The following is a 23,707-nucleotide window of genomic DNA, read 5'->3' as shown; positions in this document are numbered from 1 at the left end:
GAGGTGGGTAAAGGAGGGACTTTGGGGTTGGGGGAAGGCTCCCAGCTAGAGGTTTGCACTTCTCCCCTCCAAGCCCCACATAGCAGGAAGAGGGCCAAAGAGAGAGGAAGAAGAGAGGATGTGGGAGGAGAGAGGAGACTAGACCAGGCTATAGCAGCACAGTGCAGCAATGACAGCCTAACATGGCACAGCATGCTACAGTACGACTTGACATGGCTCCAAAATAGTCTAACATGTTCTGCAAAACCTGAGCATAGCTCAACACTACAAAATGCCTCTACAGGGACCTAGTATACTTCGTCTTTCTTGGCACTTTCTACCATCTCCTGACATAAAGCCGGAACATGTGACATAGCTCCAATATATCTTAACATGTCCTGACATTCAACATCACTGATCATATAAAAATGCAAATCAAAACCACAATGAAACGCCACCTAACACCAGTCAGAATGCCTCACATATGCGCCTGTATGCACGCACACACATGTGCTGTTACGACACTGCACACAGTCACACAAACACATAGAGTCACATACCCACACACTCTGTCTTCTCTTGCTCTCTCACATACATACAATGAAACTAATAAAGACTCTATAGGGCCAGTTGTCCCCAAACCGTCCAGCAGAGAGTGCCTCCTTCACACTCACTCAGGAGAAGATGGAGGTCTCATAGCAGCCAGTAACAAGACCAGGCCTGAGTGTGTTTTGAGAATTACATACACAGATGTAGCAGAGTCCTGTGGGTTTATGTCTCATTTATAAACCCTCACTCCCCTGAGAGGATTCTCAAAGCCTGTTTGGAGTGGGAGAGGAGACATTTGACACCCACATGTGGGTCACTCTTTGAAGGAGTTTGCTGCATAGTGGGGCAAAGAAATGGAGCATCGACTGGTGTGAAAATGAGGCCAAGAGGGGAAGTGTTTTAAGACTGAGGAAATAACAGCATTATTGTATTCCAATAAGAATGATCCAATATACAGACAATATACAAAAATCAACCATATTCCTATATCCCAGGGTCAGCAAACCATGGTCTATGGATCAAATATGGCCTGTGTACTGTATATGTATGGCCTATGAGCCAAGAATGGTTTTTATATTTTAAAAGGTGGCACAAGGAGAAGAAGGAGAAAGAGAAGAAGAAACCAGATAGGGCATGCAAGACCTAAAATATTGACTATGTGGCCTTTTACAAAAACAGGATACAAACTTCTACCATGTATTAACAATAAACAACTGAAGAACACATCTTTTAAAGCACCATTTTATTAGCATTGTACACCAGAAAAAATTAAATTCTCAGCTGTACATTTAACAAAATATGTGCAAGACTGTCATGGTGAAAACTACAAAACAATGATAAAAGAAATTCAAGAAAACAAATAAATACAGGGGTATACTATATTCATGAATTGGGAGAATCAATATCATTATTAAGTCTCCTCAGATTGATCTATAGATTCACAGAAATCCCAATTCAAACCCTATCAGGACTATTTGTAGAAATAGACACACTGATGATAAAATTTACATAGAAACACAAAGGAAGCAGAATAGCCAAAAATTATTGGGGAAAAAATGTAGTTGAAGGATTCCCATTACTCCTTTAAAGATATACTATAATGCAACAGTGACTAGGGCAGTGTGGTATTGGTCCAACATGGAATAGAATAGAAAATCCAGAAATATATCCACCCAAATTTCAACAATTGAGTTTTCTACAAACCTGCAAGGCAAGTTAAAGCAAAAAGGATTTTCTTTTCTTTTCTTTCTTTCTTTCCTTTTTTTTTTTTTTTTTTTTGAGAGAGAGAATCTAGCTCTTTCACCCAGGCTGGAGTGCAGTGGCACAATCTCGGCTCACTGAAACCTCTGACTCCTGGGTTCAAGCGATTCTCCTGCCTCAGCCATCCAAGCAGCTGTGAATACAGGCACACACCACCACGCCTGGCTAATTTTTCTATTTTTAATAGAGACGTGGTTTCACCATATTGGCCAGGCTGGTCTCAAACTCCTGACCTCATGATCTGCCCACCTTGACCTCCTAAAGTGCTGGGATTACAGGTGTGAGCTACCGTGCCCTGCCAAGGATATTCTTTTCAAAAAAATTGTGTGAAACAATTGGATATCCATATACAAGAAAACAGTCAAACCACAGTTCACACCCCATACAAAATTTAACTAAATGGAGATTATGGAATTACATGTAAACTCTGAAACTATAAAACTTTTAAAAGAAAATGTAGGAGAAAATCTCCATGACCTCCAGTTAAGCAAAGAGTTCCTATATATGGCAGTATAAACATAATTCACCAAAAATAAAACTGAGAAGTCTTACTTCATAAAAATTTAAAACGTTTGCTCTATGAAAGAAAGAAACTTCAGAGACTAGGAAGAAGACTTGCAAATCACACGACTGACAAAGGACTTGTACATAGAACTCTCAAAATCCAACAATAAGAAGGCAAACAACCGAAGGAAAATTTAATGAGCAGATGATTGAACAGACACTTCACCAAAGAAAATATAGGAGTGTCAAATAGGCACAGGAAGGCACGAGTGGTTCAACACCCTTAGTCACTGGAAAATGCGAATTAAAATCTCAGGGATATGCCACAGCATACCCATAAGGAAGGCTGAAACAAAAACTGACACTACGAAGGACTGCTAATTATTTGGAGGACCTAGAATTCTCATACGTTACTTATGGAAATTAAACACGATGCAGATGCTTTGGAAACAGTTTGGCAGTGTTTTGTTTTGTTTTGTTTTGTTTTTGTTTTGTTTTGTTTTGTTTTGTTTTGTTTTTGAGACCGAGTCTCGCTATGTCCCCCTCCCCCAGGCTGGAGCGTAGTGGCACCACCTCAGCTCACTGCAACCTCCGCCTGTGGGTTTCAAGTGATTCTCCCGCATCAGCCTCCCGAGTAGCTGGGATTACAGGCCCGCACCACCATGACCAGCTAACTTTTGTATTTTAGTAGAGAGGGGAGCCTAAGTTCTCATTGCTGTTAGAATGAGATGGCTGGATCATTATTCTAAGTGTACGTATAACATGATAACAAACTATCAAACTGGACCGGGCCTGTAATCCCAGCACTTTGGGAGGCCGAGGCGGGTGGATCACCTGAGGTTAGGAGTTCAACACCAGCCAGTGCAACATGGCGAAACCCCGCCTCTATTAAAAATACAACAATTAGCTGGATGTGGTGGTGGGTGCCTGTAATCCCAGCTACTTGGGAGGCTGAGACAGGACAATCACTTGAACGCAGGAGGCGGAGGTTGCAGTGAACTGAGATCATGCCACTGCACTCCAGCCTGGGCAACAGAGCGAGACTCCATCTCAAAAAAAAAAAAAAATTAGGCACCCCTGTCAAAGTCTTGTCTACTCACTCTGGAGTGGTCCCCAGGTGATCTGATGTGCCTAGGGCAGAGACTTACTTTGAAAATTACTTCTGTGGTAGGAAAAGTCATGGCCTCTGATGCCAAACGAACCAGATTTATCCCCACTCTTCCACTCAGAGTGACCTTGAGCAAGAGAGTTAACGTCCAGTCCATAAAATTGGTGTGAGGATGAAAACCACTTTTACCTGGGAAAGCTAAAATGTCACCTTCTCCCTTCTCAGTGGTCTACTTCTTAATAGGACAAAAACAGTCAGTGTCTGTGGAGTTTGCAGGGCATGCCTGTTCTAGAAAAGTGTCTAACCACACCTGTATCTTACAGGAATATCTGTGCATCTATTGCTATAAAAATAAAATCTCTACTCCAAAAGTCATTTGATGAAGAATAACTCAATTTGTAACTGATAATGATACCTCAAGCCATTAAAGTGCCAGAAAAGAAATCTTACAAACTGAAACAAAACCTTTTAAATTATTTTCTAAAATTACATATTTTTAAAAATTTAAGACTGATTTGAATACTTAACATGCACATTTTGAAGAACACAAAATAATGTTTCCTAAGATGATTTAATATCATGGAAAGATGCTCACAACATATTCTTTTGTGAAGAATCCAGATGGAAAAAGTATATATGAGCTGTAATAGCATGTTTAGGTAGAATTCACATAAAAATCACTATTTCAACCATTCTAAAGTGTCCAATTCAATAGCATTTAGTGCACTCACAGTGTCGTGCTACCTTCATCACTATCTAGGTCCGGAACATTTTCACCATCCCAGGAGGAAACCCCATCCTGATTAGCAGTCGCTCCTCAGTCCCACCTCCCCACAGCTGCTGAAAGCCACCAATCCACTATACATCTCTTCAGATTGGCCTGTTCTGGAAATTTCATATAAAAGGACAGTACACTATGTGACCTTTTGCATCTGATGTCTTTCATTCAGTATCATGCATTCAAGGTTCATCCACAGTGTAGTGGGGATCACTGCTTCATTCCTTTTTATGGCTGTGTAATACTCCATTGTATGGATGGACCATATTTTGTTTATCCTTTCATCTGGTAATATATAGCTTGGGGTTGTTTTCATCGTTTGGCTACTGTGAATAGGGCTGCCATGAACATTCACGCACAAGCGTCTTTCTGTTTGAACACTTGTCTCAATTATTTTGAGTAGATATCTAGGATGGAATACAGGACTGTGGAACAGGGTCTTAGGGTAATTCTAGGCCTCACTTTTGATGAATCAGGGGTCATTTTAGTGGGGTCAGAGTGGGTCTCTGCAGAACTCAGCTCAGGGGCTCCACCCGCAGCCAAAGTCCGCCCTCTGCGCGCAGGACCAGCTCCGGCTTCCTGCGGGGCTCGGTGTGGTCAGGCAGGACGCGGAAGCGCAGCAGCGTGAGCCCCAGGACCACCTTCATCTCCGCCATCGCGAACGCCTGCCCGATGCAGTTCCTTGGGGAGGGAGGTGGAAACTCTGACTGCACCCAGGTGCCCCATCCTGGCCCCATCAAGCCGGTAACCTGGCCTGGGACACCCAACCCCACCTAGAGCAGTTTGAGGAACAGAGAAGGGGGTATCCGTGCCTGGATCCCCATGTGGGCTTGCATATCCTGCGAGCCTAGCCGAGCTCCAACCCCCCAGCCTAGACCAAGGTGGGGTAGGAGGGAGCTCTGAGCTCACTAGGGATCCTTCTAGGACCAACCCAATCCTACTCTGTGGGCCTTTTCCCATAAACTCCAGAGGAGGTGAGGGAAGGAGAGCTGGAACTCGGACCGTCTACAATGTCCCCCTTTTCCCCACTGTCATGCCCAGACCCCTGCACCTATCTCCCCGTCCCCGCCTCAAACACAGGCCGCTCTTACCTGGGCCCTGCTGAGAAGGGAATAAAAGCCAGAGGTGACCTCTCCTTGATGTTCTTTGGGTCAAAGCGAAAGGGGTCATAGACCTGGAGGCGAGACCAAGAAGGGTTGCCGGGTGGGGTCTCCCAGTCCGCCAGCCTTGGAGAGACAGTGGTGTGTGTCTTGGAGGGAGGTGATGTTGGATTCTCCTGATCAAAACCCTGCCCCCTCCTCTAGGAGCCTTGGAATGGACAAAAACAGAGACGGGGGGCCCGCACCTCAGGGTCCGGCCACACGGCTGGGTTGTGATGGGTTCCAAAAACACTGATGAGGCAGATAATGCCTGTGGGAGAGAAGGGGGCAGTCAGGACAATGCTCCCTGCCTGAGGGGCCCCTCTTCCTACCCAGGAGGCTCCTCCCCCTGAGGCTGTGGCACCTTTGGGGATGACCCGGCCGTCTGGGAGCACAATGTCTTGGGTGCAGCAGCGAGAGACGGCAGGGACTGGGGGATGCAGCCTCAGGCTCTCCTTAATGCACATGGTCAGGAAGGGCAGCTGGGCCAGGTCGTCCCTAAGGAAACACCCCAGCCCCAATCCTTATCAAGGGAGCAAAGACACAACTCTCCAGCTTCTCTCTGTTTGCAAGTGAGACCTTTTCTCCCTGTAACGAAATAAACTTTTTAAAAGAATTGTTACAAAGTCGCAGGAATAAAAACAGTGTGACACTGTTGCAGAAACAAGAAAATAGACCCATGGAACAGCATAAAGAGCTCAGAAAAAGACATGAGAATAAGAGAAAACTTCACATTTGGTAAAGGGGCCCCCACCCACCCTAAACAAAATCCTGGGAAGTTGATGGATTTTACAGCTGTGAAAGAAAAATGTGGACCTACTTAACGTCATAAAAATTAATCAAAAGTACCCTCCAAAAGTTAAAAGGCAATATTTTGCAACACTAGGCAGAAAAAAATCAATCTTAATACACATTCTTAAAAGTAAATACTTTTAAAGGGTCCAAAGAAAAAGAGGAAAAATAATAAGAATACCAGTTCCATAAAAAGAAAGCAAATAACATCAACACGTGCAAAAGATGTTCAGCCTCACTCTTACTTTTTTTAAATGTCCATCAAAAGAAGAAATATGAAAATTGGCCAAGATTTAAAATTCAATAATACAATAGTACTATTGGTAAAGTTATGGGAAAGTTTGTGCCATAAAACTCAGCTAATAGTAAAGGATTTGCAGTCATATTGTATGGTGGCTCATGCCTGTAATCCCAGCACTTTGGGAGACCGAGGCAGGCAGATCACCTGAGGTTAGGAGTTCGAGACCAGCCTGGCCAACATGGTGAAACCCCATCTCTACAAAAAAAATTACCCAGGCATGGTGGGGGGGCACCTGTAATCCCAGCTACTCAGGAGGCTGAGGCAGAATTGCTTGAATCTGGGAGGCAGAGACTGCAGTAAGCTGAGATCACACCATTGCACTCCAGCCTGGGCAACAAGAGTGAAACTGTCTCAAAAAAATAATGATTATACAGTGCAAATGGTCTTTGATTCAGCAATTGCACTTCAGAGAATTTGTCCTGCAGAGATGCCTATGCATGTAAGGAATGGTCACTGTGCACACGTGCTGACAGCTTCATGTCCAGTTTAGCAAAAGTTTGGAGACAAGCCAAATATACATTAATGGGAAAATGTTTAGATAAACAGCCACACAATGGAATACTATACAGTTACACAAAAGAAGGAAATAGGGATCACTAGTCTCACCACATACTGCAGGCTAGAAGGTAAATCAGTACAGACACTCTGGAAGGCAAATTGGAAATATTGACTATAATTGAAAATGTTTAATGTCCTCTTCAACATAGAAATGAGCTGAATAAAATATGGAATAAAATATACAGCACTCAGAAAAAGATAGCATTAAGGCACCCTGTTGAGTGAAAAAAAGTGACAAATATATACATATGTACATGTAAAACAGCAAGAAGCATATGGATATATATTTATAAAAATGAATGATTCATAGATGGTGGAGAGATAGATCATGGATGGATGGATGATAGATAGATAGATAGATAGATAGATAGATAGATAGATAAATAGATGATATAGATAGATACATAGATAATAGGTAGATAAATAAGTAGAGAGATAGATAATAGATGATGGAGACATAGTTACATAGATGATAGATACAGAGATACATAGATGATAGATAGATAGACAGATAATAGAGATAGATGATAGATACATTGATAGATGATAGATAGATCAATGATAGATACATTGATAGATGATAGAAATAGATAGATAGATAGATAGATAGATAGATAGATAGATAGATAGATAGATAGATAAACAAATCTATGGCTCTAGAAACACCTTTGGAGAATGAGAAAGGATTAGGTCAGGTGGCAGGATTGTCAAGGAAAACCCTAGTCTTATCTGTAATGTCTCATTTGGTACAAGAAGAACTCTTTTTTATCATTCATTTTGTAATTTAATGTTGTTTTTCCATGTGGTGTATATATATATATATATACACAATGGAATCCCATTTAGCCTTTAAAAAAGAAAAAATTATCTCATTTGCCACAACATGGAAGAACCTGGAGGAACTCATGCTAAGTGAAGTAAGCCAGGTGCAGAAGAGACAAACACACATGATCTTACTTATCTTGGGACCTAAAATAGTTGAGCTCATAGAAATAGGAATAGAATGGTGGTTACCAGAGGCCAGGGGTGGGGGAGGGACAGAGAAGGGTGAAATGTTGGTCAAAGGGTAGAAGCTTCAGTTAGACAACAGGAATAAGTTTTTGAGATCTGCTGCCCAGCCTGGTGCCTTTAGTGAACAATGTATTGTATTAGTTGAAATTGCTAAGAAAGTAAACTTCAAATGTTCTCAACACAAAAATGATAAACACATGAAGTGATGGATTTGTTCATTACCTTGATTTAATAATTTCAGGTTGTATACATATATCACAACATCATACTGTGCCTCTAAACATATATAATTAAAACTTGTCAATTAAAGACAAAGAACAAATTTAAAAACAAACTCATTTTCCAAAATGTATATTTTGAGAAAAGCAAAAGATCTCAGAGATAATATGCAGACCCGTGTCTATTTTATGGACTTTCACTTACAAAGAAAAGCACAGTAAGTGTTCATATAAATAAAAGTCACAGTGTGAGTTCATATAAATGTGGGCATCGGGATAGCCATTTTCTAGAAGAATACACAGAGAACTGTTGACTGTAGTCACCGCTAAGGTGGAGCTTAATAAGGAACTTCATTTTTGTCATAAAGTCTTTCGACCATTTTTTTTAAACTACACGCATAATTTTGCTTGAAATCTTGGTTTTATACTCCGGGACATGGGTCTGGGCAAAGACTTTCTATGTAAGACCTCAAAAGCAGAGCCAATAGAGAAATGAGATTATATCAAGCAAAAAAGCTTCTGCACAGCAAAGGAAACAATCAACAAAGCGAAGAATCAACCCACAGAATGGCAGAAAATACTCACAAACTACTCATCTGACAAGCGATTAATAACCAGAATACATAAGCAGCTCAAACAACTCAATAGGAAAAGTAACCAAATATCTGATTTTAAAATGGGCAAAAGATCTGAATAGACATTTCTTAAAATAAAACATACAAATGGCCAATAGGTAGATGGAAAAATGCTCAATGTCACTAACAGTCAGAGAAATGCAAATCAAAACCACAATGAGATATCATCTCATCCCAGTTAAAATGGCTTTTATCAAAAAGACAGGCAATGATAGATGCTGGTGAGGATATGGAGAAAGGGGAACTCACACACACTGTTGGTGGGAATATAAATTAGTGCAGCCACTGCAGAGAACAGCACAGAGGTTCCTCAAGAAACTAAAACTAGAACTGCCATATAACCCAGAAATTCCACTACTGAAAAGAAAGAGAAGAAATTTCTATCCCAAAGAAAGAAAATAAATATATGGAAGAGACATCTGTACTTCTGTATTTATTGCAGCACTATTCACAACAACGAAAATATGGAATCAACTTAAGTGTCTATCAATAGATGAATGTATAAAGAAAATGTAGTGTGTATACACAATGGAATACTATTCAGCCATTTAAAAGACTGAAATTTTGTCATTTGTGGCAACATGGATGGAACTGGAGGTCATTGTGGTAAGTAAATAAGCCAAAAACAGAAAGACAAATATCGCATGTTCTCACTCACGTGTGGGAGCTGAAAAAGTGGATCTCATGAAAAAAGAAGATAGATTGGCAGAGGGGAGGGAAGGATAAGGAGAAGTTGATTAATGGGTACGAATTTGAGTTTTGATAGGAGAAATAAAACCTAGCACTTGATAGATCAGTAGGTTCACTGTAGTTTACAATATGTACTGTACATTAGAAAGTAGTTTGCTTATGTTAGTTATGTTTCTAGCATAAAGAAAAGACAAATATTTCAGGCAATGGATATCCCAAGTACACTGATTTGATCTTTATCAATTATATGAATGTATTAGATTATCACATGTATTTCAAAACTATGTGCATCTATTATGCATCAATAAAAATGTGTTTTAAAAAATAAAATTGCAAAAATATTCTTTATTTTAGAAGCATAAAAATGTTTCTTCCCTTCCCAGGACTGCTGTGCTGGGCAAAGGCATGGACGGGAGGACACTGAGTCCAAGACACCCGTCCACTCCAATGCTTCCTCTCCTTCCTCCAGCCCCTGGCCTGGCTTGAGCCTCAGAATGTCCCCACTGCGCTCTCATTCTATAGCTGGTCCTCTCCAGTACACCCTCCACACTAGCCCTAGAAAGATCTTCCTGGTACCCAGATGTGACTTGTCCCTCCCTGTTCAAACACTTCTCATGGCTCCCTATTGCCCTTGGGCTAAAACTGAAGCCATTAACATTTTCCCCAAGGCTTCCACAGCCAGCCCCTGCTACCATCTCCAGTTTTATCATCTCACCACAAGTCAGTCTCTCCCTCTTTCTCCCCTTCTCCTCCTTTCTGTCCTGACCCTGCTCTCTCTCTCTCTCTCTCTCTCTCTCTCTCTCTCTCTCTCTCTCTCTCTCCTCTCTCTCTTCCTCCCCCGAAGACCCCAGGTGGTCTTCTTGACCTACAGCACTGCTCCCCAACTGTACCCAATTATCTACTGATCATTATTCAGGCTTTCAACTGAGACACTTTCTATACCCCCCTAGTCCTGCTTCCCTTACTGTAAACCCCATCCCTGCCCACGTGGGCTGGGACTGTCCTGCCCAGGGACAGTTCCCCCACCAGGCTGGGAGCACCTGGAAAATAGATCCCTGGTTGGGTCCTTCCCAGGTCTCCAGAGCACAGAAAGATGCTGTGCACAGATGTGGGGGTTGGAATGCAGTATGAGAGTATTTGCTGAACGAGGACTGGATGGATGAATGATGCAGGTGTTCTGGACAAGAATGGATGAATTTTACCCCCAGGTCTCCCTTATAAATCCCTGGACTGGATGGAAGGGTAGGAATTAGGGAACAGAAGAGCAAACATTCAACAAGTGAAGACATTCAAAAAAATATTTCTTGGAGAAAAGGAAGAGAGTGGAGGGGAAGTTCATTTGCTGAACACATGCTAAGTGGCGTTATCTGTCCTCACATATCATCAACAATTCTCTCAGAAGCCCAGGTCTTTCTGTCCTAAGGGCCTATAACCTTTGCCCAGACAGTCAGGATGGGTACTAAGTCCTGCCTGTGGTCCTCTGCTCCTATTCCCACTAAGCAATAGTGGCAGAATCAACAAAAACAACCCCTTCTCCCCTCCCTACCTGGGGAACAGAGCCAATGAGACAGGCTCAGGAACAGGGCACCAGCACCTGCACTCACCATTCAATCTCTTTAGGCTCACGGTCCTTCAGAAGCTCTTGCACCTCCTGCCGACAGCGCTCCTGGTATTCCGGGTGCTTTGCAAGGTGGTACAGGACCCAGGAGAGACCACTGGCTGTGGTGTCATGGCCTGGGGGGCAGCAAGGCAGGCTTGGGTCTCTGGGCTGCTTCAGCACCCGAGGGTGTACAGCAACCTTGCATTGAGGACCTCAGGGAGGATGGGGGAAGGGGGATGGGAAGTGCGAGGGGTCCACCCACCCTGTTCCTGGAATGGAGATATCCAAGTCCCCACTCTAGCCCCACACTGGGGCCCTCACCCTCAAACATAAAGGTGTCAGCTTCTGCTCTTATGTCCTCATCGGACAACTTCTTCCCATCTTCATCCTGGAGAGAAGGCAATAACCCCCCACCCCCACCCCCATAAAAAGTCACAGTACCTCTGAGGGCTCTTGAGTCTAATCTGAGACAGTCTCTGAAGATTCATCCTCTTTCGAGAAACCCAAGCCCATCTTGCTCTCCTAGACCCTTCTTGGTCACCATGGCCAGAGCCCCAACCCCATGGGCTTCCTCCCTGGCTTCCTTGCCTTTTCTTTGGTCCCTAATGGGAAGACTCAATGACCCATGAATGCTTTCATGTTTCTGCTTGATGAAAACTTTCTGAGAAAAAAATCACTGGCAACCTGGGTTACAGGATAATTAAATGGCAATTTGTCTTGGAAATTAGAGATTAAGTATTGCTTCAAAGATATTTGCCCACATTCTACAGTGGTAAATGAATCTTATCTCCCTGGAGACATTTGAGTTGTAAGTCTATGGAATATGGCATCCAGAACAAAGCACATAATCTCTCACAAAGCTGGTGCCCTCTCTCTTTCTTCCTCTCTCTCTCTCTCTATAGAAAATGTGCTGAGACTCATAATATAGGGTGCCTTTCCTAGGGTACAAAGTCTGCTGCACGTACAGGGGAAAACATCGCATTGCCCTTGGAGGAATTTGACTTGGGAATGGAGAGTCAGTGCCACAATCCTACTCTGGCTGATAGTATTGCCGTAAGCAAGACATGAGCTGCTCTGATCCAGAGATTTAATGCCTCTGTCACAACAGACATACACATAGACAAAGACATAGACACACAGACATAGACACAGAAACACATGGAAAAAGTCATAGACTTAGACACAAACACAGACACACAAATACACATAAACATAGACATGGACATAGACACAGACACAAATACTCATAGACATAAACATGGACAGACAAAAACAGACACAGGCACAGGCAAATTCAAAGACAAAAATATGGCCGGGTGCAGTGGCTCACACCTGTAATCCCAGCACTTTGGGAGGCTGAGACAGGCAGATCACGAGCTCAGGAGTTTGAGACTAAAAATAGTGAAGCTCCGTCTGTACTAAAAATACAAAAAATTAGCCAGGTGCCTCTAATCCCAGCTAGTTGGGAGGCTGAGGCAGGAGAATCATTTGAACCCAGGAGGCGGAGGTTGCAGTAAGCCGAGATCGCACCACTGCACTCCAGCCTGGGTGACACAGCGAGACTCCATCTCAAAAAAAAAAAAAGACAAAGATATAGATATAGCATTGACATAGACATAATCATAGACACAGACAAAAAAACATGGACATAGACATACACTGAGACAAAGACACAAACACAGAGAAAAGAAAAAGACATAGACACAGACACATAGACATAGACAAGAACGAAAATATAGATATAGAAAAAGACATAAACACAGACATAGAAAAGACATGACAAGGTGGGGCACAGTGGCTCACGCCTGTAATCCCAGTACTTTGGGAGGCCAAGGTGGATGGATCATGAAGTCAGGAGTTCAAGACCAGCCTGGCCAACATGGTGAAACCTCGTCTCTACTAAAAATGCAAAAGTTAGCCAGGCATGGTGGCGTGCCCCTGTAGTCCTAGCTACTCGGGAGGCTGAGGTAGGAGAATCACTTGAACCCGGGAGGCAGGGGTTACCAGTGAGCCAAAATCATGCCATTGCACTGCAGCCTGGGTGATAGAGCGAGACTCCGTCAAAAAAAGGAAAGAGAGAGAGAGAAAAAGAAAGAAAGAAAGAAAGAAAGAAAGAAAGAAAGAAAGAAAGAAAGAAAGAAAGAAAGAGAAGAGAGAGAAAGAAAGAAAGAAAGAAAGAACGAAAGAAAAAGAAAGAAAGAAAGATGGAAGGAAGGAAAAGAAAGAAAGAAAGAAAGAAAGAAAGAAAGAAAGAAAGAAAGAAAGAAAGAAAGAAAGAAAGAAAGAAAGAAAGAAAAAGAAGGCAGGGAGGGAGGGAGAGCACAAAGGCATAAACATAAACAAAGATGAAGACACAGATGCAGACAAAGACATACAGATATGGCCAATGAAAAAGACAAAGACATAGACATAGTCATAGTCATAGAGAGAGACACAAACTCAGAGACAAAGATACAGAAAGACATAGGCAAAAACATAAACATAGACCCAGACATAGGTATAGATGTAGATATATAGATTAAAAGGTGGCCAATTAGCTTATTAACTTATAAATAGAGTAAATCTCAGACTCATCACAATTTCATTTAGCAGTCCCCTGGTAGGTGCTAGTCCACAGAGCTATCTCCAAAACCTATCTCTGACCTGTCCCTCCCTTCCTCAATCACCTTCCATGGCTCCCCAGTGCCCTCTGGGTCAAGTTCAAATTCTTTCATCTGACATTTCACATGAAGCTCCCTTCTACTTCTTGAATTCAGATCCCAGAGAGGCCCACCTTGCTCAGCAGGAGTACATCAATGAAGTCCAAAGTCTTGGATTTGGCCTTGGCTTGGAGGAAGTCATCAACACCCTGGCTAGGGAGGGTGCGGCGCCGCTCCTGGATGACGGCATCTGTGAAGTCGTGCACCAGGCGGCAGGCCCTGCGGAAACGCTGCCCATCAGGGGTGAGATAATACAGGAAGTCTATGTACAGGAGGATCTGCTGGTGTCTTTTTGTCACAAGGGCACTGAGCTCCAAGATGGCGGCAATATATTCACTGGGCTTCCTGCAGGATAAGGGCAGAAAGGGAGGCAACAATTTAATACACCTGAAGCCCCAGGATCACCTCCCACCAGCAGCTAGGAGCTACCTCCTATCAGTAAACGGGGTATCCAGGAACAGATGGCCCCTCAGATGCAGGATGGGGATCAGCATGAAATCGACTCTCCAGGCTCTCTTATCTCTCCCTGCATCCCATCTCTGTGAGATGCCTCCATGCAGCTAGGCACCCAGAGGATAGTTTGCACATTATGCTCCTATTCCCTCTCTCCCTCCCAGTATACAGTCTTGCCCCTTCTCCTTCCTGAAGCTGTCCACAAAGCTCAGACTTTATCCTCTTCCAACTGGTCCATGGTCCAGCTTCCACCCTAGCTTCTTTGCATCAGTGTTAACTCCATTTAGTGCTACATTACAGTCAGTCCCTGAGAGAGACCCACTTTGACCACACCCACCAGTTCAAACCCTTTTAATGAGTCCCTGGAAACCTCAAGATAAAATTCATACCAGTCCTTCAACGATCAGGTATAACAACTCCTCCAAGAAGGTTTGTCTGATTTCCCTGCTCAGTCCTCCCCAGCCCCCCACCTACCAACTTTGTGTCCACGGCCCAGGATCCCAGACCCTGGGCAAGAACTTACTCCTGGCAATGGCTGTCAAAGCTGAAGACACATTTCTGCAGACTGTCCAAGGTCATGAGGCTGATGTGCTCAAACATGTCCAGACGGGCACTACCCTCTGAGGCCAGGAGCTGCCACTTGGCCTAGCCAGAGAAGGGGACAGAGCTGGGGCAGGTCCCTTGCTCCCTTGAGCAGCTCTCCAACCCCAACAATCAATATGCACGCCCCAGAATAAGCCTCTTCATCTTCTCCCCAGGGACCCTTTACCCGGGAGCACCAGGTTATGGTGCAAGCAAAAGCTGTTACTATTAAGAGATGAAGACCCAAGATTGGGAGTCAGGAGACCTAGGTTCAAGTTCCAGCTCTGTCCTCTGTGCTCTGTGTGCCATTAGTCAACTCATTACCCTCCCCTATATCCCACCTGTCAGATATTCAGGAACAGTTAAGATGATGTGCTTTGGAGCCATATAATTCATGTTAGAAACTCTGCTCCACCATGCCAAGCTCACTCATTAGCTGGGTGAACTTGGGTTAGCTCCCTAATCTCTCAGACCTGCAGTTTCATCATCTACCATGGGGCAGAAATACATAATCTCTCCTTTGCAGAGTTGTTAAAATCAAATTAGACAATATATACTCGTATCATGGAATGGGCACATGGCATTTTTTCTGGCATATTGTGAGTTCTCAATAAATGTTGGGTTTCCTCATCTGCAGTTATAAATTGATTATAAAAATATCCTAGGTTTGTAGAGGTAGTCCTCCATGAGTCCTGAGCACCCTTTCTGGGCATGTCACAAATGCAACACGCTGATGTTCTTAACTTGAAAAATTTCTCAGAGTTGTGTTTGCAGAAAATAACTTTGAGGATAAGGGACACCCCCTGGATATGCTGCTTCTGCTTGCTATAAAAACAGATTCCTAAGCCTAATGCCCCTTCCCTGTAATGCAATATATGATGTCAGCAGGCATTTATAGAAGCCCACTTGTGTCAGCCCATGGGATTTGAGAGGCTTGGAGAAGAAGTGCAATCTAACAAGCAACACATGCTGCTCTCTGTGTCATGAGTAGTAAAACTATCCTTTGTCTCTGACCCAGGAGTTTCTTGTTCTTCCAGAATAATTTATGAAACAGTAACTAGCTTAACATCAATTTTAAAGTTAAAAAATTCTAAACACTTCACAAAACCTTCGCCCCAATTCTTCCCTTCTCCCCATATCCACACCCTTTGCAATGTGCTTTTTCAGCAACTCCCAATAATAGACAGAGCCTATTTTACCCCCTGCCATTGATTCCGTGTTGGACTATTGGCTTTTGATGTCAAAATACAATGTGGTAAAAATGATGAGGTGATAACTAATGAAGCTAAGCCTCATCTTATTCCCTGGAACCCTATCTGTATTGTAAACCATGGGACTCCTTCTGGAGGGAGAGAATCAGATGGAGGAACATCCAGGGGTCTAAGCTGAGGCCATCTGTATCGGTCTGAAGCCAGCCAAAACCCAAACATGTGAGAGAACTCAGCCAACACCAGCAAGGCTGCCTACCTGACCCCAGGCTGCTCATGTACCATGACTGATCCCTTCCATCCACATCCAGAAGAATCCACGAACTGTCCCACAGACTTATCAGGATTCATAAACCTTTATTGGTTTAAACCAATGAGTTTTCAGGTTGTTTCTTATCAGCAACAGCTATTATGCAATTGTTGTCATTACCCTCTTGAGTTTACAGGGTTCGGGTGACGCGAACATAGAAACAGACACCTTCTGGGCACCTACTATGCGCCAGAGACATGACTCCACTACATCACCTTGACCTTCTTTTAAGTAGGGATTTTACAGATGAGGAAACCAAAGCTCAGAGAGGAAGACAATGGCCCAGAGGCACCCAGCAGAGCCAAAATTCCAGACTAGATCTGTCTGTGGTTCCCCCCAACCAAAGGCTGCAGCTGGGACCTTGGCTTCAAATAACTCACATGCATGATGTTCACACTCTCATTGAAAATCTTCATATAGGGCTTCAGGATGTTGAAATGGAAGGCAGGCGTCAGCATCCGACGGTGGCGGCTCCACTTTTCACCAGCACTCAGCAGGAGCCCATCCCCTGGCAGGGCAGCCAAGGGCCATGGGCAAGGGCATCTCCCTCCCCTGGCCCCCCAGGTTGTTCCCAACCCTGTTCACCTACAGATACTCACCCAGCCAGGGCTTCAGGAAGCTGTAGAAGACCTTGTCCTTTGGTACAATGGCAGCTGACATAAATGAGGACAATCAGGGGCCATGGAGGCAGGTGAAGGAGGAACTTTGGGGGTGGGGGGAGGCTCCCAGCAAGAGGTTTGCACTTCTTCCCTCCAAGCCCCACATAGCAAGAAGAGGGTCAAGGGGAGAGGAAGAAGGCAGGATGGGGGAGGGGAGGGAAGACCAGACCAGGCTACGGCAGCACAGCACAGCAATGACACTGCCTAACATGGCACGTAGGAGCTATGTCAGGGCTCCAGCATGCCTTGACATGCCTCCTACATGATCCAACATGTTCTGCAAACCCTGAACACGCTCAGCACTCTACAGAATGCCTTCACAAGGACTTAGGACACCCTGTCTGTCCCAGCACTCTCTGACATATTCTCACATGGCATCTTCTGACATGGACCTAGACATGAGACATGACACTGACATGTGTTCACAAGTCCTGACATGGCCACAAAATACATGACAATTCCTAACATGAGATGGTATGCTCTAACATGCACATGAGATGGTCTAACATGACCTTAAAAGCGTGTTCCACATACAGGCTCCAGGTTGAATATAAATATGGTACCTTTAACGACCCAGACATAGCCAACACGTGACCCAGACTGTTCCTCACGTATGACCCAAACATACTACAACACATGCCTCAGACAAGACTCAAATAATGTCTCAGACAGTTCACTTAGGGACCCTGGGTCCCAGACCTCACACAACCCCCAAACATGGCCCAGATGTGACCAGCAGGAGAAAACGGCAGTGTCAAACAGCACCTGCGACAAGAACAAAACAGCCCCTCACATGCCCCAAATGTCCTTGGCCACACATGAACTCCACACATGACCAGCTCTACATGACCTCAGTTGGAATGATATACCAGATGTAACCGGGTATAACATATTTCAGGTGTAACCAGGACCCAGGTGTAAATATACAGGTGACAAGACGTAGCCGTACAGCAGACTTGACCATATAACAGCCACCATAGAGACACTTCCCAGACATGAGCAAACAGGAACAGAGGTCAGACAGATGGAAGTCCAGGGGAGATGGAAGCAGTGGCATCTCCACCACAGCCCCTCCTGTCTGCACATGGGCACGCGACCCGCTGGAGGCAGCACAGAGACCCCAGCTGTGGGCAAGGCGTGGCCAGTGCAGTGTCTACCTGGAGTGGCCAGTGCAGTGTCTACCTGGAGCAAAGAGCACAGGCTTGATGTAGGTGGGGTGGAAGATGCGGACGATTGCGTGCCAGGGCCCCACCCACCAGCAGCACATATCACCGAAGGTGCATGCCAGGCTTTGTGTGTATAGGAGACCTTCCTCCGAGCTGTGAATCTGGAGAGAAAGACACAGGACCCAATTCATGCTCTCCTAGGCTGCGAGAGAGAAGGATCTGCAGGGAAGAGGTGGAAGCCCTCTCCCTGAGAATTTCAAGCAGCATCTCATCTCCCTCTCAGTGCTGAGCCCCCACTGGGCTTCCTCCTCACATCCTCCATGCAGGACTCTCCAGTCCTTCAGTTACACAGACAGAAAAGCTCTTTCCCCATGTGGATCCACACACCATGTTCCCTGGGCTCTCATTCATCCCATTTTCCAGATGAAGAGACTGAGGCTCTAAATGATAAAGTAATTTGCCCATAGTCCCAGACCATGGCAAACCTGAGGCCTGAGACTGGGTCTATCTGCACCCATGGCCTGATTCCTTAACCATCAAACTTCTTTGTGCCCCCAAAACAGTAGCTCTAGAAGGCCCAGGCCTGCCGAGACTAGGCAATCAGAAACACAGGGACTGGGTGAAAAATTGATCTGGTGATCCAGGCCAGGAGAAGTAAATCATGGGCCTTTTCTGGGAACTCTGGGGGAAATGTGGGCTTTCCCATGAGAATTGAGCTTCTAGGACTCATTGTTGACGTCATGAGGGAAAGACTGTCTTGAAAGCAAAAGTGGCGTGGAAAAAGCTAAAGCCAAGAAAGGAAGACAAGCCAAAAGTGGCGTGGAGAAAGCTAAAGCCAAGAGAGGAAGTAACACTGTGTGAGACCTGGATCCAGCCATGCCTGAAGGCCATCCTCCCTGGACTTTAAAATCAATAGATTCTCTTTCTTTGCTTAGACTACACCAGGTTGGATTTCCACCACTCACAACTGAAAGAGACCTCAGTAACCAGAGACAGCTGGGAACCAGCCCAGAGTCACTCAGCATTTTGAGGCCAGAGCCATGGTCTCTGTAGGATGCTGCCTGTTTCCCTGCTCAGCCTGGCCTGTCCAAGAAGGGAAGCACAGGGGTCAAGGAGAGGGCCCCAAACTAGGCTGGAGTCTCCTTTTGGAGATTCCCAGGGCCTAGAGCAGAAAAGCAATGAACTTAGGGCAGACAAACTACAGGATGGGGTAAAAGGACTTGACCCACACCAGAGATGGACATCACAGAAATAACAGTCCAGATCCTCCACCAGCCACAAGTCCTCATTGTTCTAACCTTTGTGACAGGCAAGGTGACGCTAGACCTGGCAAGGGGCCTTGAACACTAACGATGCCCAATTGCATCACCCTGCACTCTCCTTTCAAACATCCCTACTCATTGTTCCAGACATGGCTCCAGTAACTCTTCCTCCAGGAAGGCTTCCAGCCTGCCCCAGCAGAGAACTTGCTCTTCTCTGGGCTGTCATCCATCTCCCTCTGGCCCTTTCTTGACCCCATGAAGTTGGGGATGTCTCTGTCCACATCCACCTCCTTAAGCTTGGGGGTTCCTCCAGGACAGGGCCTTGGGTTGAGGTCTCTTGGGGCCCCAGGGCAGCCCAGAACACCAGGACAGGGGGTCAGATGGCAATGGAGAGAGGAGATGCTGAGATGGGAATTAGTGAATACATGAAAGAAAGATGAAGATGGCTGAGAGAGAAGGAAAGGAGAGACCAGAGTACTGCAGGGGCCACACACGGCTTGGGGATAGAGGGACTTGCAGGCCTCAAATGCACCATAGCACCCACCACCAAGTATTCCAGGTGGTACCTGAGGCGTTGATGACAGACCGGATGATGTTGGGGTGGCAAAAACGGATGACGGGGAAGATGGGGCCCATCCAGACCTTAAAGCCCTGGGGGTAGGTGGCCACCAGCTGAGTCAGGACCCTCATGCCCTGCTCCGTGGGGGTGACCTGCAAGCAAGGCAGGGGCCGTCACCTCCTGTCATGGTTAATTCTAGGTGTCCACTTGACTGGGCTAAAGGATGCCCAGATAGTTGATCATCCGTCTGTGAGGGTGTTTCCAGAAGAGACTGGCATTCAATTTGGTAAACTGAGGAAGGAAGAATCACCCTCCCCAGTGTGGGCAGAGCTCATTCAATCTGTTGAGAGCCCAGGTAGCACAAAAATGCAGAGGAAAGGCTAATTTGCTCTGTTGTGGGGCTGGCACATCCATCTTCTCCTGCCCTTGGACACCAGAACTCCACCGTCTCAGGCCTTTGGACTCAGTTACACAACCAGTGTCTGTTTATCCAGCCTGCAGACAGCAGTCCATGACGCATCTCAGCTTCTATAATCCTGTGAGCCAATTCCCGAAATAAACTCCCTCTTCTATCTATCTATCTGTCTGTCTGCCTGTCTGTCTATCTATCTATCTATCTATCTATCTATCTATCTATCTATCTATCTATCTATTTACCTATATATATCTCTACATATCTACCTATCTATGTATCTATATATGTATGTATGTATGTATCTATCTGTCTATCTATCTATCTATCTAATCTATCTATCTACCTATGTTTCTATGTATCTATCCATCTATCTAATCCATCCATTCTATCTTATATATCTGTCTATCTATCCATTCATCTATCCTATCTGTGCATCCATTCATCCATCTAGCCTATTATCTATCTACCTACCTATCTATCTATTCATTTATCTATCTAATCTATTCATCCTATCTAACTTTTCTATCTATATATCTATCTGCCCATCCATCCATCCATCCATCCATCTTATCTGTACATTCATCCACTCATCCATTTATCCTATTATCTATCAATCATCTAGCTATCTATCCATCCATCTAATCTATCCATCCTACATATCCACTCTACCTATCTATCCACCTAATGTATCCATCTTATCTACTACTTTATGTATGTATTATCCATCCATCCATCCATCCATCCATCCATCCATCCATCTTATCCATGCATCCATCTGTCCATCCATCCATCTATCCTGTTATCTATCTATCTATCTGTCTATCTACCCACCTACTTATCCAGCCAGCCAGCCATCTATTCACCCTATCTGTGCATCCATCCATCCATCTATCCTATTACCTATCTATCTGTCTACATTCCTCCTGCTCTATCTCTCTTGGGGCCACCCCCAAGTCCCAAGAGCGCATCCCAAGGCAGAAGGAAAAGACACACTGTCCACTCACAGAGGCCCACTTAGCTTGAGAGGAAAAATTTCCTTGTTCTGGGAGTCATTTCAGCCCAGAGGTGGGCATATGAGGAGGTCCTCACAGGGGAGGTTTGTGGGGAGCAGTGTGGACTCAGGACATGTCCCTAAGGCTGGTCCCCACATCCCTTCATGCCCTGGCTGGTTCCTCCACCAGCCACACAGGTTCCAGTTCCTCCCATGGAGAAGGTTCTGCACACAGGGGACCTTCCCTTCTCAGCAGTCACTAGGGGAGCAGAGGTGACTCTAACTGTCCATCATGACAGTGGCTCCCACCTGGGAGAAGCTTCTGCACCAGGCTCTGTGCTAGTGCATCCTGTGCACCCTCCCACTTCACCTGTGGACACACCCATCAATCCTGCCATTTGCAATGAGCAGATTGAGACCACGTTCCGCAAAGGGGAGAGCAGGTCTAAGTCAGAGGGCAAGGTCTGGGGGAGGAGAAAGGTCAGGGAAGGCTTCTGAAAGGGGAAGTGAGTGGCCAACTTTTATGTGGGTTTGGCAACAGGACCCCATTGGGACATCTTACTGGGGAGGAACAAGATAAGAGGAAGGTGCCTCCGGATGTGGTGGAGGTGAGAGACAGCCCACACCTCTCCTCTGGCCCACCTATACCCTCATAAGAGGAAATAGGCCAGGTAGGGAGAGGACCCTGAACAGTGGGTACAGGAGGCCTCGAGTCCAGCAATGGAGAATGTGGGAACGCCAGGGGTTCACCTTTCTGTGCACCCAACCCCCTGCCCAAGAGCCCCGCAGAGGTGCATTAATGTGGAAAGACAGGCAGGAAAAGGATTCAACACAGGCCAAGAGTGGGAGAACAGGGAGGTGAGAAGGGCTTGGGTTGGCACCTCACAGAAATGAGTAAGCAGAGGAATGAGTAAGACGCCTCCCCTGCTTCTCTGCCACCCCAGACCCCAGCCCACCCCCTCTCACCTGAGCCTCATTCTTACCCCTCAGGAAGTCCATCCACCCTGAGACCCCAGACCCGTCCTGCTGCCACACTCACCAGGCCCAGGTGACCCAAGAACCAATTCCGTTTCGGGGGTTGCGGGAAACACCGGAGGCGGCAGCAGTTGTCATAGAAGGTATAGGTCCAGGCCAGGATGCGGGCCAGGAGCCAGGAGGCCCCAACCAGCAGCAGGAGCAGCCACGGGGATGCTGCCATTGGCCAAAGGCCCAGCGAGGACAGGCTCAGCTGTGGCATCCTGCAGGGCAGATGGGGTGGTGAGTGAGGTCCTGAGGCCCAGGGAAGGGCCCAGGGAGCTCCAGGGACAGTGGAGAGAGGCAGAGACGGGCAGTGCTGGAGATAGAACAGTAAGAGTAAACAGGGATGGATAAACAGGGGCTGAGGGGTAAAGTCCAGAAAGGCCCAGCCAAAACCAGCAACCAAGTGGCCTCCAGTTACCCGGTAAGCACTTAGATTGAGAAAGACAGAGAAACTGATTAAAGTCCAGAAAGGCCCAGCCTGAATCATTAGGACGTTGCCAGGGGCTTGGTTTCAGTTAGAAAACCACTCATCCTCCAAGCCAGCAACCAGGAGCTGCCTGGGCCTTGGGCAGCAATGGAGAATGTGGGAAGGCTGGGGCTCCCCTATGTGTGCGCCCAATCCCTTGCCCAGTGCCCATCTCCATCACAGGCTAGGATGCCCCAGGCCCACCACCCCCACCCTGGCACCTTCTGTCAGGAGCACCTTGTCCCACACAACCTCCTCTCCCCTTCTTCTGGGAGGTTTTTTCCCCTGGCCCCTGATGTAGGGAAGGCTGTGGGAGGCTAGGCTGGGCTGGGCTGGGCCAGCCAATCCCCACAGCCTGGGTGCCGCTCCCATGTCTGGGCAGCTGGCCAAAACCTGGGTGTGGGAGACCAGCTGGATGCAGAGGAACCAGCTCAGGGTGACACAGCACAGGCACTGGATCCTCAGGTCTCAGCACCTCCCACATAAGGTGGAGAGTAAGCCGAGAGGGGTCAGATAGAGTTTCCACTGTGTGACACCTGCTCTTAAAGAGCACCTACTGAGTGTGTGGCAGATAAAAGCATGAACTTGAGAGTTCAGGTGTCAAGCGAGCCAGGCCAGGCCAAGCCTTGTTCCAGATCATCTCCTGTGCTCCTCTCTAACCCTGGGCCGGTAGGACACCGTGTACCACTTCTGGATGCTGAATCAGGCAACCTGGAAGAGACAAGCCTCTATCCCCCTGCTGCTGGATGGAGTTCAAGTCTTGCCTCCAGGCAGTCCAGGGCCCTGTTGGAGACC

The 23,707-nt window shown here is 45.9% G+C and overlaps 1 protein-coding gene across 7 annotated transcripts; it reads right to left on the bottom strand.

The window, feature by feature from the left end:
• On the bottom strand, nt 1,254–23,182 carry CYP4F3 (cytochrome P450 family 4 subfamily F member 3). 7 transcript variants are annotated; one of them, NM_001199208.2, is made up of 13 exons: nt 23,134–23,182; nt 22,466–22,664; nt 20,028–20,172; nt 16,974–17,027; nt 16,755–16,882; nt 14,798–14,919; nt 13,896–14,166; nt 11,444–11,510; nt 11,127–11,256; nt 5,682–5,815; nt 5,524–5,588; nt 5,270–5,352; nt 1,254–4,859 (listed from the first exon to the last, which is right to left on the bottom strand). In NM_001199208.2, the coding sequence occupies exons 2-13, from the start codon at nt 22,661–22,663 to the stop codon at nt 4,694–4,696; spliced, it is 1,563 nt and encodes a 520-aa protein (NP_001186137.1). In that variant the 5' UTR covers nt 22,664; nt 23,134–23,182; the 3' UTR covers nt 1,254–4,693. The 7 variants fall into 7 exon arrangements, with proteins under 7 accessions (NP_001186137.1, NP_000887.2, NP_001186138.1 ...); NM_000896.3 differs by lacking the exon at nt 20,028–20,172 and adding an exon at nt 18,216–18,360; NM_001199209.2 differs by having other exon boundaries at nt 23,150–23,182.

Source organism: Homo sapiens, chromosome 19 (assembly GCF_000001405.40).
Source record: "Homo sapiens chromosome 19, GRCh38.p14 Primary Assembly".
NCBI lineage: Eukaryota > Metazoa > Chordata > Mammalia > Primates > Hominidae > Homo > Homo sapiens.
The sequence above is the reverse complement of the archived record's forward strand: the minus strand, read 5'-3'. Positions and strand labels throughout refer to the sequence as shown.

Bases quoted from the DNA above. Each gene is read 5' to 3' on its own strand.
- CYP4F3 (NM_001199208.2), bottom strand. From the start codon at position 22,663: ATGCCACAGCTGAGCCTGTCCTCGCTGGGCCTTTGGCCAATGGCAGCA. The intron at 5,589-5,681 runs GTGCCACAGCCT...TCTCTCCCACAG, and splicing joins CGGCCGGGTCATCCCCAAAG to GCATTATCTGCCTCATCAGT. The intron at 4,860-5,269 runs GTAAGAGCGGCC...TCCCTCCCCAAG, and splicing joins CCCTTCTCAGCAGGGCCCAG to GAACTGCATCGGGCAGGCGT.